The sequence below is a fragment of the Homo sapiens genome, chromosome 2, assembly GCF_000001405.40.
Source record: "Homo sapiens chromosome 2, GRCh38.p14 Primary Assembly".
Classification (NCBI taxonomy): domain Eukaryota; kingdom Metazoa; phylum Chordata; class Mammalia; order Primates; family Hominidae; genus Homo; species Homo sapiens.
This window is the reverse complement of record NC_000002.12, coordinates 172423263-172437641: the sequence shown is the minus strand read 5'-3', so window position 1 is coordinate 172437641 and position 14379 is coordinate 172423263. Positions and strand designations below refer to the sequence as shown.

Genomic DNA, 14379 nt, shown 5'->3' with positions numbered 1-14379 from the left:
ATTGACTCAGCTGCTTACTCAACTGCCTAAATAACTCACTTGGCTGTCTAGACACTCCAAACCTGACATATCTAAAACCATACTCCTGCCCTGCCCCCAAAATCTATTACTCTCACATCTCTCCCCAAACCATAATACAACTCCATCCTTCCAGCTGCTCAGGTCAAAAACTTTGGACACATTCTTCTCTACTCTGTCTGTCCCAACTGATACCTAGTCCCCAGGAAATCCTGTTGACTCTACTTTCAAGACATATCCTGAATCCAAGCACTTTTTACTATATTCATTGCTGCCACATTGGTCCAAATCACCATCTCTTATCTGTTTATTACAGGAGCCTCCTAGTCAGTATCATTACTTCTATCTTTGTCCTCATACAGTCTACTCTCAAGGCTGCAGGCCAGAGAAATCCATTTAAAATCCAAGTGAGGACATGTCCTACTCTTCTCAGAACCTACAAATGCTCCCCATCTCATTCATGAGTAAAAGCCAGTCATTCGATGATCCATAAGGCCCTATACAATCTGCCTCCAAGGAGACTCACTGCTTTGCCTGAACATGCTTCTGCCTCAGGGCCTTTGTGTTTGCCATTCTCTCTGCCAGGAATGCAGCTTCACCTTCTCAGCAAAGTCTTCCCAGGCAGCCCTACTGCTGACCACTTCCCTCCCCATCTGCACTCCCTGTTCCCTCTCTACTTTATATTTTTGCAGATCACATCAACCATTCTCCCCTCTCTTGCATTAACACTTCTGCATTAATTATTACTATCTAACATAATACACCTTTTTGTTTATGGTTTGTCTCCCCGATCAGAACATAGGCAGGGATTTTGTCTATTTTGTTTGCTGCTGTAGCCCCAGCACTAGAACAGTGCCAAATACATAGTAAATACTCAGTGAATATCTGTTGAATGAACAATTTCTATAGGAAAACCCCAAAAAGCTGGCCACGGTTTCTCTGGCAGGTCCAGACCACATTCCCTGCATGTTCGAATACAGACAAAAATCCCTATTTCTTTTGGGTTAAAACATGTACACACACAGAGAGAAATAAATGAGCTTACAGAGCTTACATATTCTATGATATTGAAAAACCTTCTCAGCTGGCTTCTGGCATGGCTGCTAAGCTTGGGGAGAGGTATCATTGTCTCTCAGAGCTTACCTCCCAGATCATCCTGAATGAGGATCCTCACAACGCCTCTCCACATTCCTACAACCCCTTCTCAGTTAACCTCTGTAGCAGCCCTTTCTAAATATAGGGCAAGCCTTAGAAGGTGCTTTTCTAAGCTGGCTTATCTGATACAGTATCTGAAATGGGTTTCCCATGTTCTTGGCATTAAAACACTTCTCTAGTCTGGGATTCCCGAAAGTCCTCCCTCAGCCTTGGCACCATCTAATTCAATAGGTGTCTCCTTCAGCCTTCCCCAAGGCCACTGTCCTTGAGCCTCTAAAAGGCCCAGCAGTGCCCAGACCCATCTCTCTTTGCACTTGTAAAGTCATGGAGGTCTTCTTCATTCATCACCCAGGTCTTTAAGCCACCTCTCAACTTTTTCAAAGTATCGCCTTAAGTCGGTACCTGGGCCTAGTCTCACCAGCAGTAACGAGGACTCACTGGCAAATATTAATAATATCCCTTTCCTAAAATTATGTCTCTGTATGTCCACTTGATCATTTCTGAGCCTCTTTGAACTCTTCCTTTTTTGAAAACTCTTGGGGCTGGGCATGGTGGCTCACGCTTGTAATCTCAACACTTTGGGAGGCCAAGCCAGGCTGATTGCCTGAATCCAGGAGTTCGAGACCAGCCTGGCCAACATGGTAGCATTCTGACTCTACTAAAAACACAAAAAAATTGCTGGGTGTGGTGCTGCACACTTGCAGTCCCAGCTACTGGGGAGGCAGAGGTGGGAGGATTGCCTAAGCCCAAGGAGGTCAAGGCTGCAGTGAGCTGAAATCGCATCGCTACACTCCAGCTTGGGCAAACAGAGTGAGACTCTGTCTCAACAAAAAAAAAAAAAAAAAAAAAAAAGAAACAAAACTCTTGGGTTTTGTGTCGTGGCAAAGCTGGATTCCTTAGGTCCAATCAACAGGTTCTCAGCACCTTTGATTGGAAAACAATGGCCTTTTTCCTACCTATCTCTAATCTCTCTGGAGCCTTGTAGAATTGTAAACATTTCCATTTCACAACTTTTATTGTTTCGATACCTTTGTTCTAAAGGGACATACATAATCACACTGCCAGTAAGAGGCCATCACCCGCAAGATATATCAGGGGAATGGGGCCTAGGGAGGATTTCTTACTACCCTCAGCAAGAAGGAAAGAGAACAGAACAACTCCAAACTCTCAGTGCTGCTGAATGGGGCATCCCTACCAGAGGCCAACCATTCCACCCCTTGGCTGTGATTCACTTGGATAAGGATCCTCTCGTTAACTTTACATCACAATGCTTTATCATAATGGCAGCATATCCTGAAGAGAAGGGCTCCTGATTCTGCAAGGACAAAGGAGTTATTTGGCTCAGGAGGGCTTAGGTTCAGTGACATTCTGCCCTCTGGGTCTGAAATGTTTATTATCATTTGCATCATACACACACACACACACACACACACACACACACTTAAAACCACCTCAGTACAAATGAACTTCCTTTTCAAAATGAAGAAACCACAGTGACATTGATATCACCGAGCAAAGCAAACAGAGCTCTTGGGTAAAGAGGCATTACTGGGTGCTTCCTTACTCTTCAACTAACCAGTGTGCCCCTTTCAAATTATTGCAAAGTTTATTTTTATTTCTGTACTCCCAGGCTTAGAAAGCATGTTTCTCTCAAAGGCTTTTCTTATACTATATCTGAAATGGCTTTTCAAAAAAGTAAGTTTCAGATTGTATGACATGCAAAATATACTAGCCGCTTGGCAAATAAACATGCAAGCAGATACCCACGGCTCCATGTCATGAGTTTTTGCCCTTTGTGACTTGCGTTTAGTGGTACTTCATCCCATTCCCCCTAATTCAGAACAGTCTTCTTTACCATTTAATTGGTTTTAGAGACTTAGTTTTCTAAACAGTCTTTCTGCCAATTTAGGATGAGATGAAGCGACAGTGGGATCCAACGTTGGAATCTGGCATGGGGCTGAACTGGGGAGGGTCTGCTGCCACACTGCGGCCTGAGAACAGTCTTCTACAAACATGCCAACCTCGGAATCGGTATGCTGGTTTGAGATCGTCTTGCCTTGTTTATCTAAGCAGAAAAGCCAGATAGCAGATTTGATGGTGGTTATCAAACCCTGTTATTAGTTGACAGGGACCTGCACTGGTGAGAGGCCCATCTACCTGCCCCAGTTCAGGGCTAATTAACAATTAGCCTTTTAACTTAATTCCAAGAGATCAGTGTTTGCAAATCTAAATGCCAGTTTAACAAACCTGTGAAGGAAACACTACTTCCATATTTGCCCACATACTTTCCAACCTTAGGCAGTTTTGTCATCAATAATCCACAAGCTCCTTCCTAGCAAACATTAGTGCCAAGCAAAAAACTAAGAAAAATAAATCGTTTTCAAACCTGCCCTGGGTGTTGTGCAAGTTATCCAGCCTCCTAGGGATGGAGGTGTGGGGGTGCTTTCAAGGTCATAGAGGTCTAAGAAGGCCTGGAAACCAGACAGGTGGTATTCCTTAGCAGTAAGCCCAACCTATAACTGCACCACCCACCCTCCATGGGTATCCAGCTCACAGTCACTGCCCCGTCATGTCTATGCACCCATCTGTCCACTCATCTCTGAACACTGAGACCTCACTGGGATTTATCTATGGCTTAGTAGCTACGAAGGGCTGCTAAGTAGAAGGCATGGCTCTTCTGAGATGCACTTTTCAACTGGAGAGTGGAATGGAAGAAAGGGAGAATGTGATGAAAACCAAACCTTTAAACGTGATGAAAACCAAACCTAAAAGGAGAAAGCACATACACAGCACAGGCCGGGAAGCAGGGAAGATGCAGATTGAAGACCAAGTTTGCTAGACATGCCGCCACCACTGCACCTCTTACAGCCTTGGTTTCCTCATCTATTTAACAAACACAAAATGCTCACTCTGGACCAGGACTATTCTAATGTGCGAGGATACTAGCTTCACAGCTGAAGGCAGGAAGGCCTAGGAAGGTTAGGAATCCTGCACAAAATCATAGCTAGTCAATGGCAGAAAAGGGTTTGATCCTACCTGGCTCTAGGCTCTGCTCTTAGTCACTACATTACACTCTGCCTTCTGTGTAAAGGAGAAAAGCTAGTCTGACTCAAACGAAGAAGACTTTAAGAACAGCTTCTTGGAGCACACTTATGGAAACTGACGTAACAGATCTAGGCTGGGCTGAGAATCACACTTTTATAAAAGGTTGCCCAAGTAGTTACCCTGAAGACCAGCCAGGTTTCAGAACCCCTAAGCTTCCTTCCAGATATAAAGTTATTTGATTCCAGAGTTGTACCCAAGCCCAGAAAGGGAAGATGGGCACCGGGGGCTGAGACTACGTCCACTTCCCACTGCTGCAGTACGTAATCTTTACCATCCTCCCAGGAGCCAGCGGGGGTGCTACACAGATCCCCAGATCCCATGCTATGGCTCCTAGGCTCACCCCCGGAGCAGGTAAGCAGCCTTCCCACCATCCTACCGAAAGAGTTAAATATATCCAAGATTCCCTTACTATCCTTGAAGAAATAAACCTGCCGCTATCAATTCACAAGTGACTTCACACGTGTACTGCACACTTCCATTTGACCCCCACACCCCTGTCAAGTTGCTTTCAGAAAGATCTCTATTCCACAGTCATCCTTCTCTGTCCAGCCTCATAACAACCAACCACCTCAGCAAGTCCCGAGTACCCACTGCAGTGTAGGTCAGCCTGTATTTCTGGGGTTAGGTTCTAAAGTCTGCCTTTAGGGCAAAAGCCAGGTGAAATTTACAAACACTCATGAAAATCCCTTAGCTGGAACCCCCCGCCTTTGAAAAATCAAAAACCAAGAATTAACGTCTTGTGCGTTTCTTTGCTAAGCTTACAGATTCCGTTTCCTCAGAGGCAGAAGACACCAAGGCCTGAGCAAGGAAGGGCAAAGGGTTAAAGAAAGGGATTTCTCCCTCTCTCCACCCTCAGCAGGAAGAGTTGATGTCACAGGTTAAACTGAGTGTATAATATCAGTCTCTATTGTATTTGCAAGGCATATGCTAGGTGCTAGCAGGCAAAGAAATGAATGTAAGACCCCTGCCCTCACATAACCTACAATCCAGTTGGGAGAGATTAGATCATGTCCTAAAGATAGTGGATCACAGTTTAGCACAAAACATCAGAATTGTCAGACACAATGTGCTACAGACATCCAAAGGAGTTAAAGACATTGCTTTAGTGTAGGATGGGGAAATTTTAAACTGGTTCTTAAGCTATGATTATATTCTTAAAATGGGCTGATTCAGCACTAAATCAGTGTTTCAGGCACAATTGACCCTGTCATCTAAGCTTACAACAGTATTTTCTGTTTTGTCTCACTGTCCCTCTTGAAAATACCAAATAATTCACTGGCCTCACTGTCCACAGTAATATGTTGAGCCGAGGTCTTCAGGAAACCATGCGCCATAATTCTGGTACTATTTGGTTATGAAAGCTTAAATTAAATCTCAATATATTGTTATGCTAAGAGAGTCTATATAACTGAGAACACAGAATAACCACTTCTTTATAATAAAGGAATCCTTTTATATAAGCATTTATCCTGACTTCCCCAACAAATTATTTATACCATATAAATACTTTGACCCTTTTTTTCCCCAACCCTGTCATTACTTGGTCTCACACCAGCCTGTGTTAAAATTAAACTTGCCTATTTCTGCTTTCTTGCAGAGTCCTAAGACTTCCTGTAAGTCTCGCTGCCCGTTTTGGCTTTTTCTCTACTCTTAGCATTCAAGGTGACCCAGCAATCCCTGGAAGATGGCCCTGGGCCACATGGCACTCCGAGTGAATAAATGCAAGGAAGCAAGTGCTTAGGTACACATCCTGAATACAGCTCTGATTCTTGGCTAGCTACAGCCACACTTCACTGGGCTTTTTCAGAAGGGAATGGGGTGGAGGCAGGCAAAGAAGGACGGACCCAGAACTTGTTCCAAGGCCAGCTGGAATAGAGTCAATAGTAAGAGTCCAGGCACCAATATTTAAATAGATAGCCCTGACCTATGCATATGGGAAGCAGTTTGATAAATCAACACAATATAGTACACTTCCAAAATTCAGATGCTTGCCGATTTCTCTAGGTCTGAAGAACATTTCTGGCTTTTCCATTTAAAAATGGCATGAGCATGGGTCAGAGATTCAAATCCACATTCTGTTAAGATTCTGCTCAAGCTGAACTTTCAGCTTCAGTTTCTTCATCTGTAAAAAGAGGCAGTTGGACTAGATGATCTCTAGTTCAGAAAATATGATTTTAAGAGATGGAACATGACAAGTCTGAGAAAAGTCAAGAACAAACCTAGTAAGGGTCAGAACAGAACAGACCGCGGGCCTGGAGCATTTCTGGAAGACAGTGGTGGTCAGAGAGAGAGACCCCATAAAGAAGAAAATGAGGGTTGGCAGAAATCCAAAATGACTTCATGAGACTATCTCTTATAGATCTCCTTCTTCTAGGTTCTTCCCTGTGATCATATATAGATCCATCTCTTCCCAGAAGAGCTAAGAGTGATGATTCATAGGCTGGATATACCCACAGTCATCATCACATACCTTCCACCTCTGGGAATGACTCAATCTTAACTACCTAAGAGAAATTAAAGAGTCCAAGGTGCTCAGACCCTGACCTCAGTCACTCGGCGGACCAACTTGGCTGACCATTGAGTAATCTTTTGGAGTCCGAAACTTCTTTAATATACAGCCTGAAAACCTGGATGAAGTTTATGGTATCTACTTCAATTTTATAGTCTCCAAAGCTTTAGGAACACCCGACATGTTTTGGGGCTCTCTGACACAATATTATTCTGCAAAAGTCATAACTGGAGTTTAAAATGTGACTGAATAGTTAAAGGCACTATAGAAAATTTGAACTACAAACATTTATGATAGGTCTTCTATGATCGTGCTTTTATCTGACCGTCCCATGCATCTGATATTTTACTTCTCCTTCCTCAAAGTCCTCTGTTCATTAAACTCACTTTTGTTATAAGTCTAATTAAGACCTATTAAAGTTAAGTTGCTTTGAACATGGGTTTCATAAATATGACTGAGTTTAAAATATCATTACCCAAAAACAACCACCTTTGGCTTTACTCTCAGGCAATCTTAGAATCACAGAATGTTTAAGACACCTTGTAAGGTACCTGACACACAGTAGGTACACAATTACTGCTTTTTAAATGATCATTAACAGCTACCATTTAGTCAGCAAGTACCCATGCCAGACAGGCATTAAGCACTTTGCATATTATCTCTTAATCCTCATAATAACCCCAGTAAGCAGTAATATCTCCATTTTACAGATAAAGAAATTAAAGCTCAAAGTAAATTAACAGCTGCTAATAAAAGGCCGAGAAGGAATCTCAGCTTAGGTCTCTCTCCCACCAGGTCCCTGAAAGACCCCCACTGAGTTTTTCCATAGAGTTTAGGAAGCTGGTCCAGAAGTTTTCTCAGTCTTACTGGCTCTGCCATTTACACCCACATTCTTTACTGTCAAAGGTTGACAACTGACCTGTGCTATGGCCTGTGTGTGCTGGTTCTCCTGGGAAGACCAATGCTATTCCTGAAGCTGGAATAAAGCTTTACAAAAGCATGGAGGTGGGCAGCACGTGACATAAACCACAGCCTCTTTAAAGTGTGGTCACTGCCTTTGGACTCTAGGAAACATACAGTCTCCTTATACGGGGCCTCTCCCCTCTGTCAGCTGCTAAGAAGAGCTTTCCTAGAAGGCATCAGACCCCATTGCAGGCTTATCCTTACCTCGGGAGGAGTTGCCTCAGCTCTAATACCAGAGAAGCCCAGCAGCAGTAACAAGTTTTAGCAAGCATGCTGCTAACCTTCACGACACAGATTCCTGGCAAAGTCACGTTTCGCAAATCTCCACTGCCAGGATATTTCTTGTCCCAGTACTTTCCCTTCACACTTTTTGCTTGAACAAGTATTTCAAGGAAGCCACCGGTTTCAGTGGGGCTCTGGTGCAGAGAGAGAATGCCCAGGAGAATGAATTCCCTCTGCTGGCCCACAATCATTTCTGCACTAACAAGCTCAAATTCTACACACCAAGTATTCCGAGACAATAAACGTCATCTATTAACTGAGTTAACAGGAACCTTTCATTTCAGATTTACAGCTTAACAACAATTATTTCTGAGAGAAAGCAGAGTATAAGCAGCTGGCCAGGCATATAGCCTCAGACCACCCTCCTAGAGCCTCCCCACCCCCAGCTAATTTCTGTGCTTCACCTAGCAGGTGTTATCAGAAAAAAAAAAAAACTGACTAAAATTCAGGGGCTGCAACATTCACGAATTCCAAAGTTGTTAACCGCTGAAATCAAGAGGTTTCCTCCAGTTCTAAAATCCCATTCGCCTCTCCTAAACACAAAATCTCTTCACTGTGGCTGCACTTTGCTTTCTCCGGTCTGTTGGTCCTGGAAGGTCCTTAGTTCAACTCAAGGCCTGGGTGGGGAGGGGAGACCTTTTGTTGCTACAGCCTATTTTTCAGTAGCACAGATGAAGAATGCAACCCCATAGCGATTAAGGCGACTAAGCGCCAAAATACCCTCTCCGGCTTAAATAGCCGATCATGTGGGAACCAAACACTGTTTAAGAAATAAAAGGAGAGGCCAGTAGTGCCGGTCTCCTCTTTCTCCTGGGAGGTTTACCGCTACGGTGGGGGGTTGTCCCTTACAAACCTTGTTTGCAAAGTCCAGGCTCAGATCGGACATTTTGCTTTAACCCCTTGGCTGTGCCCGCCCAACGCAGGAGCCGAGCGGGTCTCGGGTGCGGCCGAGTACTTTGGGGGCTGGGCACATCACTCAGACTTGTTTTCTCAGCTGATCTAGTCCAGCGAACAGGTGTTTGGTTAATTCCCGCCCCCACCCCCATCTTTTTTTTTTTTTTTTTCAAAGGCATGTAAAAGTATCTCCTAAGGAGCGCCCCCGCCTTGCTGAGAAAGTCATGCAGGACACATGGAAAGTGGCTTTCCAACTTGTGCGGGGCGCGCCAGTCTGCGGGGGAGACGGGGTGCACCGTGAGTTTGGGAAAGGCCTAGACCATCCTGGAACTACGCTCCCTGCAAACCCACAGCAGCGCTGCGGTGACCCTGAACGCCACCCCAGCCCCAAACACACACGTGAAGCTCAGCAAAGCGTGCCACCTGCCGGGGTCCCAGCAAACACGCCCGGAGGGAAGAACCGGCGGAAAGCACTTTGTTTAAAACAGAAAAAAAAGTAAACTCTCCCGGGGCCCAGCCTAGCCCTCGGGTTCTCCTCCTTCCCGAGCTGAATGGAGGGAGGCGCCGCGCGGGGCGGGTCAGGGCGGGGAGCCGAGCGCGCTGGGCGCTGGGTGCGCCTCGGCCGGCCCGGGCGCGACCCACGGGCCAACTACTCCCCGGGGCCGGCGGGAACAGGGCGCGCCCTCGCCTCAACTCGCGCGCAGGCCGGCGCCCCAGTGGGGGTGGGAAGGGTCTGGGAACTCACAGCCGCTTGTCCTCGGGCTGCAGTTGCCAGTGCATGGCCAGCGAGAAGCCGAAGAGGCTCCCGGGGTCTCCATATTTCCGGATCACGTTGTCCTCCCGAGTGTCCAAGTTGAAGGCTGCGCCGAGCCGGGACAGGAGCCCCGCCGACAGGTAGAGCAAGCACAGCTGCCCGGCGGCGGCCATGGGCGGACGCACGGGGAGGGGAGCGGGGACCTGCAGCGGCCGCCCTGCGCTCCGGGCTGGGTCCGAGGCTGCCGCGCTGCTGCTACCGCAGCCACCTTCGCCTCCTCTCGCCGCTGCGCCCGGCCCCACCCCCGGGACGGGTCGCGCTCTCCGTCCGGCCGCTCCCCCTCGCGGGCAGCTCGCGACCGCTGAATGAGCCCGTTGTTCTCTGGAGACTCGCAGGCGTTTTATCAAGTGACGAGGACGCCGGCCCCGCCCCTCCCCACCCTCTCGCCCCTCCTTGCGCGCCCGCGGCCCGGCGCACCGCCCGCACCTTACCCGCCGGCTCTGGCGTCTCCAGCTGCCCGGTACCTGCCCGGAAGCCACGACGTGGGAGCCCCGGAGGCGAGCTCGCGGCGAAGCAGCCCCACTGCGCCGCCCTCTGTGGACAGAATTGTGGTTGCCGAGTAGCACAGAGCGAGGGAGACTTTACTACCCGTTATAAAGAGAAGTGCAGGTGATGCACCGGGCCTCATGGCCTGAGCAGCCTGTTCTTGCAGATGTGGGCCCACGTGCAGATGCATACGTCATTCATTCATTTCTACAGGTGTTTATGGAGCGCTTAAGGCGTGCCCAACACTTGGGGACTACAGCTGTGTAGACTGTTCTGGGTCCTCAAACACCTAACAACCCTCAAAAATGATCACAGCGCACACCTTGATAGTGCTGTATAATGTACACAACCCAGCCATTACCTCAATTCATCCTAACAGTCCTATGAGGTAGGTGTTTCTTTTTGCAGATCAGAAAACCGAAGTTCCGCCTTGTCCCCAGATCACCTAGGATTTTGCCCAGGTGACCAGGAGAGCTTGTGGAAGAAGTCACGCAAGTCAAGGATGGGTTGTTTAAAGTGGCGCCAGGAGCTCAGGCGACGATGCCGTTCTTTCCTAGCCCCGGACTTTCAGAACTAGTTGTGGGGAGAACTGCTGGGCCAAGAGACAGCTCCGAGTTCTGTGTAGGTGGCATGAAGGCTCCTGCCTCCAGGACATGAGGCGGGGCTCCAGTGAGGTGTTGGCCCTAGGGGCAACCTTATCCTGCAGGGGTTCTTAACCCGAGGAGAGGTAATTAATTCAAGAGTACTGTGAACTTGGATGAGAAAAAATTTACGTCTTAATTTTCACCAACCTCTGACATTTAGCACGTTTTGCCATTATGAACGTAGACAACAAACTACAGTAGCAGTAGGATAAGTATTTATGACTTAGTAATCACTAGAAACCATAGGTTTTTACATCACATCACAGTTGTTGCAAGTATCTCAAATAACAGTAGTTATTAGACAATCAGCCAGATATTATATGTCAATAATGAAGCATATATATTGCTCTAGCACAAATTTTTAAAAACATTTTGTTAGCTACATTTCAATATTATTGGCTTTTTTTGTAACCTCTTGTGGTTTCTTTTATGTATTTAAAACCCTTATTCTGAGAAGAACCCCATGGTTTTCAGCAGCCTGCCAAAGGGGTCCCATGGCATGAAAAGGTTGGGACGTGCTGGCCTGAAGCCTTCTGGAATGCCTTGGGGAGCCCTCTTTGGAATCTGACATCCCTGCATTGGAAATACAAGCAGGGTGCAGCCCCAGGAAAGAGCAGGAGCTGTGTGTGCATAGGGGTAGGGGTGGCCTCTTCTTCACCTCAAGGAGTATTCAAGAGAACAGCATGTGCCACTCAGAAAAGCTGCGTGAACATCATCAAGGGTCCCCACAGGTGGTAGCAGCTGTCAGAGTAAGTCCGTCAGTATATTAGGGGTGTGTACCACTTCCTTTCCAATCAGTAACTCCAGTCAATTATAGTCCAAAGTGGGGTGCAGTGGTTTAAATTCAGTAGATGATTTTGGAGAGCACACAGTTTTAACAAATATATCTTGATAAGGTTGAGAAACTATTGGAGACAATCTAGTAAACTAAGAAGTACTTGCAACGTGATTTTTCATGCAAATAAGTTGCAAGTTAGCCTTTTCCCTTCGTGTAAAATATGTACTATTCCAGAGAGATGGGGTCCAGACTATTATAGGCATAGTATAATGAACCTCACTGCAGAGTGTACTCAGCCAGGAGCTGGTGATTTGGCTGTAATGGTTACTGAAATATTCTGAATTGGTTGATAAAAGCTGCTGCCCTTAGTTCCTCACAGGCAACCATCCCTGCCCTGCCCATTTTCCTAGGACTAAGCAACTTCCTCACAACCTGGCAAATGAAAGTTTAAGCCCTTAAGCCCTGATGCAGCAAGGGCTCCCTCTGCTTGGATATCCCCATGTCACACCAGCTGTTAACTATTCTGAATATCACCCCTTGCTTCTAAGAGTAATTCTGTGGACCATTGATTCCTGTCTTCCCAAGATGTGTTTAGTGGATGATGTATGAATGGCCAGAGTTATTTACTTTATCCCAAACACAGATTGTGCTCAAATTGAAATTCTAAATAATATTAAATTTAAATATCACAACTACATGTATAGCACTACTGAAGCAAATTATGCTTGTGTGGGAAGAGGTTCAGATAAAGAAAAACAAGGCTGGGAGTCTTGTTCTGGAATATGTCAAGTGCCCATCGCAAATGGAAAACTTATTAGCTCAGTGCTCCTACCTGCCACCTGTCTCCTACCTACTTGAAGTTGAGTCAAACTCTCACTCTCAACATAGATGCCGAAGATACTTGAAGTTGAGTCAAACCCTCACTCTTGACATAATTTATTTGAAGATTGTCAGCTCCTTCTGACTATAACCATCAAGTTTTGGCCAGGCACAGTGGCTCACGCCTATAATCCTGGCACTTTGGGAGGCGAGGTGGGAGGATCACCTGAGGTCAAGGGTTCGAGACCAGCCTGGCCAAAATGGTGAGACTCCCCCCCACCCAACCCCACCACCCCGTCTCTACTAAAAATACAAAAATTAGCTGGGTCTAATGATGGGCACCTCTAATCCCAGCTACTCGGGAGGCCAAGGCTCAAGACTCACTTGAAATGGGGAGACAGAGGTTGCAGTAAGCCAAGATTGCACCACTGCACTCCAGACTAGGTGACAGAGCAAGACTCTGACTCAAAAAAAAAAAAGAATCAAGTTTTGTGACTCAGTTGTTATTTCCATTGTAAAACAGAGTTGGGTGTTTTACAAAAGTGTCTTACAAAAAGGAGGTTTAGAGGTCATTCTGGATCCACTGAGGACACATCAATCTCTGGGGCCAAAGGAATAAAAGAATTCAGAGCCCTAAAAATTAAAGACCTGGGGAGGGAGTACACAGTTTTAATGGGGAAAACAAAATCTGGGACAGGAAGATACTTGTCTGGAACCAAAGGGAGAGAGATAGCTTGGTGATAAAGGTGTGCTGAGTATATAGGGCATGGGGCATGTGTGTGTGTGTGCTAGCACACATGCCTATGAAAACAAGACATGCACAGTGCAAGAAGGGCCCTACAAATCCAGTTAACTGGCAGAACCGTGTCTAAAAAAAAAAAAAAAGGGCCGATTAGAAAACGAAATAACACATCACAGAAGAAACTTCTATAAACTGAACATTTTTAATTAAAAGGCAGTGAAAGCTATGCATAGAGGCATTTGCTCAGGTGAGAGCTTTTGAATTCTTATGTTTTACCAGTACACTTTTCAAAATAAAATTATTTATTTGTACTATATCCCACCCTCTGTAGAAGAGCTTTCAAGATAATTTTAGAATATTGGTCATTTATGGAGAAGTCTGAAGAATCCATGTCATACCTAATATATTTTCCATTCCCTGAGACCTACTTTAATCATTTTGTTATCATGTTCACTGTTATATTGACTTCATCATCACTAACAGCAGAGAATATATTTGCTTTTTTCATGCAACATAAAAACTAGTTATTAGGCCGGACGTGGTGGCTCATGCCTGTAATCCCAGCACTTCTGGAGGCTGAGGCAGGCAGATCACCTGAAGTCAGGAGTTCGAGACCAGCCTGGCCAACTTGGCGAAACCCCATCTCTACTAAAAATACAAAAATGAGCCGGGCGTGGTGGAGGTGCCGTAATTTCAGCTACTCAGGATGCTGAGGCAGGAGAATCGCTTGAACCCGGGAGGCAGAGGTTGCATTGAGCCGAGATTGCACCACTGCACTCCAGCCTGGGCAACAGAGCAAGACTCCGTCTCAAGAAACTAGTTAATGAAAACATCTCTTTATTCTCTTTCTGTGGTTACATTATCCCAACAGTTTTACATATTTCCTGGAGCCCTTTAATGTGAGGCCATCCATGAGAGTGGGTAGCACATGGTCTCTGGAACCCAAGTTCCTTATTACGGATCCTGCCTCTGCTCCACGCTAGCCACAAGGCCATTTAATCTCTCCATGTCTCCGTTTTCCCAGCTGTAAACCGGAAATAACAACATGTCATCTACCCCTCAGTAGTTGCTTTCTCTTAAGAATTAGTAGAGTTGATGTTATCTAAAGCACTTAGAATGTTGCATCAAAACCAGAGCTCCCACCTGTGTACAGTCTTTCAAGATACGGCT

The 14379-nt window shown here is 46.0% G+C and overlaps 1 protein-coding gene across 10 annotated transcripts in view, besides 4 other annotated features; it reads right to left on the bottom strand.

The window, feature by feature from the left end:
• Nucleotides 1–10306, bottom strand: part of ITGA6 (integrin subunit alpha 6) — a 79124-nt gene extending 68818 nt beyond the window's left edge. For 5 of the 10 annotated variants that reach the window (XM_017004005.2, XM_017004006.2, NM_001316306.2 and 2 more), the window contains exon 1: nucleotides 10172–10306. Coding sequence is in view for 5 of the 10 variants with exons in the window: in NM_001394928.1 (NP_001381857.1) it covers nucleotides 9672–9853 (182 nt within the window). In the remaining 5 variants the exon portion in view is untranslated. Of the gene's footprint in view, nucleotides 1–9671; nucleotides 10057–10171 lie in introns of those variants that run through there. The other 5 variants (NM_001394928.1, NM_000210.4, NM_001079818.3 and 2 more) reach the window with 1 other exon arrangement.
• Nucleotides 2360–2860: an enhancer, noted in NCBI's record as "OCT4-NANOG-H3K27ac hESC enhancer chr2:173299510-173300010 (GRCh37/hg19 assembly coordinates)". NCBI's record gives its function as "activates a minimal SCP1, AML or CMV promoter by ChIP-STARR-seq in primed H9 embryonic stem cells {active_cell/tissue: H9 hESC(primed)}" and the evidence as "EXISTENCE:reporter gene assay evidence [ECO:0000049][PMID:30033119]".
• Nucleotides 6120–7319: an enhancer, noted in NCBI's record as "BRD4-independent group 4 enhancer chr2:173295051-173296250 (GRCh37/hg19 assembly coordinates)". NCBI's record gives its function as "activates an origin of replication core promoter dependent on BRD2, P300/CBP, MED14 and CDK7 cofactors, and independent of BRD4, by STARR-seq in HCT116 cells {active_cell/tissue: HCT116}" and the evidence as "EXISTENCE:reporter gene assay evidence [ECO:0000049][PMID:35650434]".
• Nucleotides 8744–9244: an enhancer, noted in NCBI's record as "H3K27ac hESC enhancer chr2:173293126-173293626 (GRCh37/hg19 assembly coordinates)". NCBI's record gives its function as "activates a minimal SCP1, AML or CMV promoter by ChIP-STARR-seq in naive H9 embryonic stem cells {active_cell/tissue: H9 hESC(naive)}" and the evidence as "EXISTENCE:reporter gene assay evidence [ECO:0000049][PMID:30033119]".
• Nucleotides 10029–10108: a silencer, noted in NCBI's record as "silent region_12110". NCBI's record gives its function as "represses an Ori minimal core promoter by ATAC-STARR-seq in GM12878 lymphoblastoid cells {active_cell/tissue: GM12878}" and the evidence as "EXISTENCE:reporter gene assay evidence [ECO:0000049][PMID:35858748]".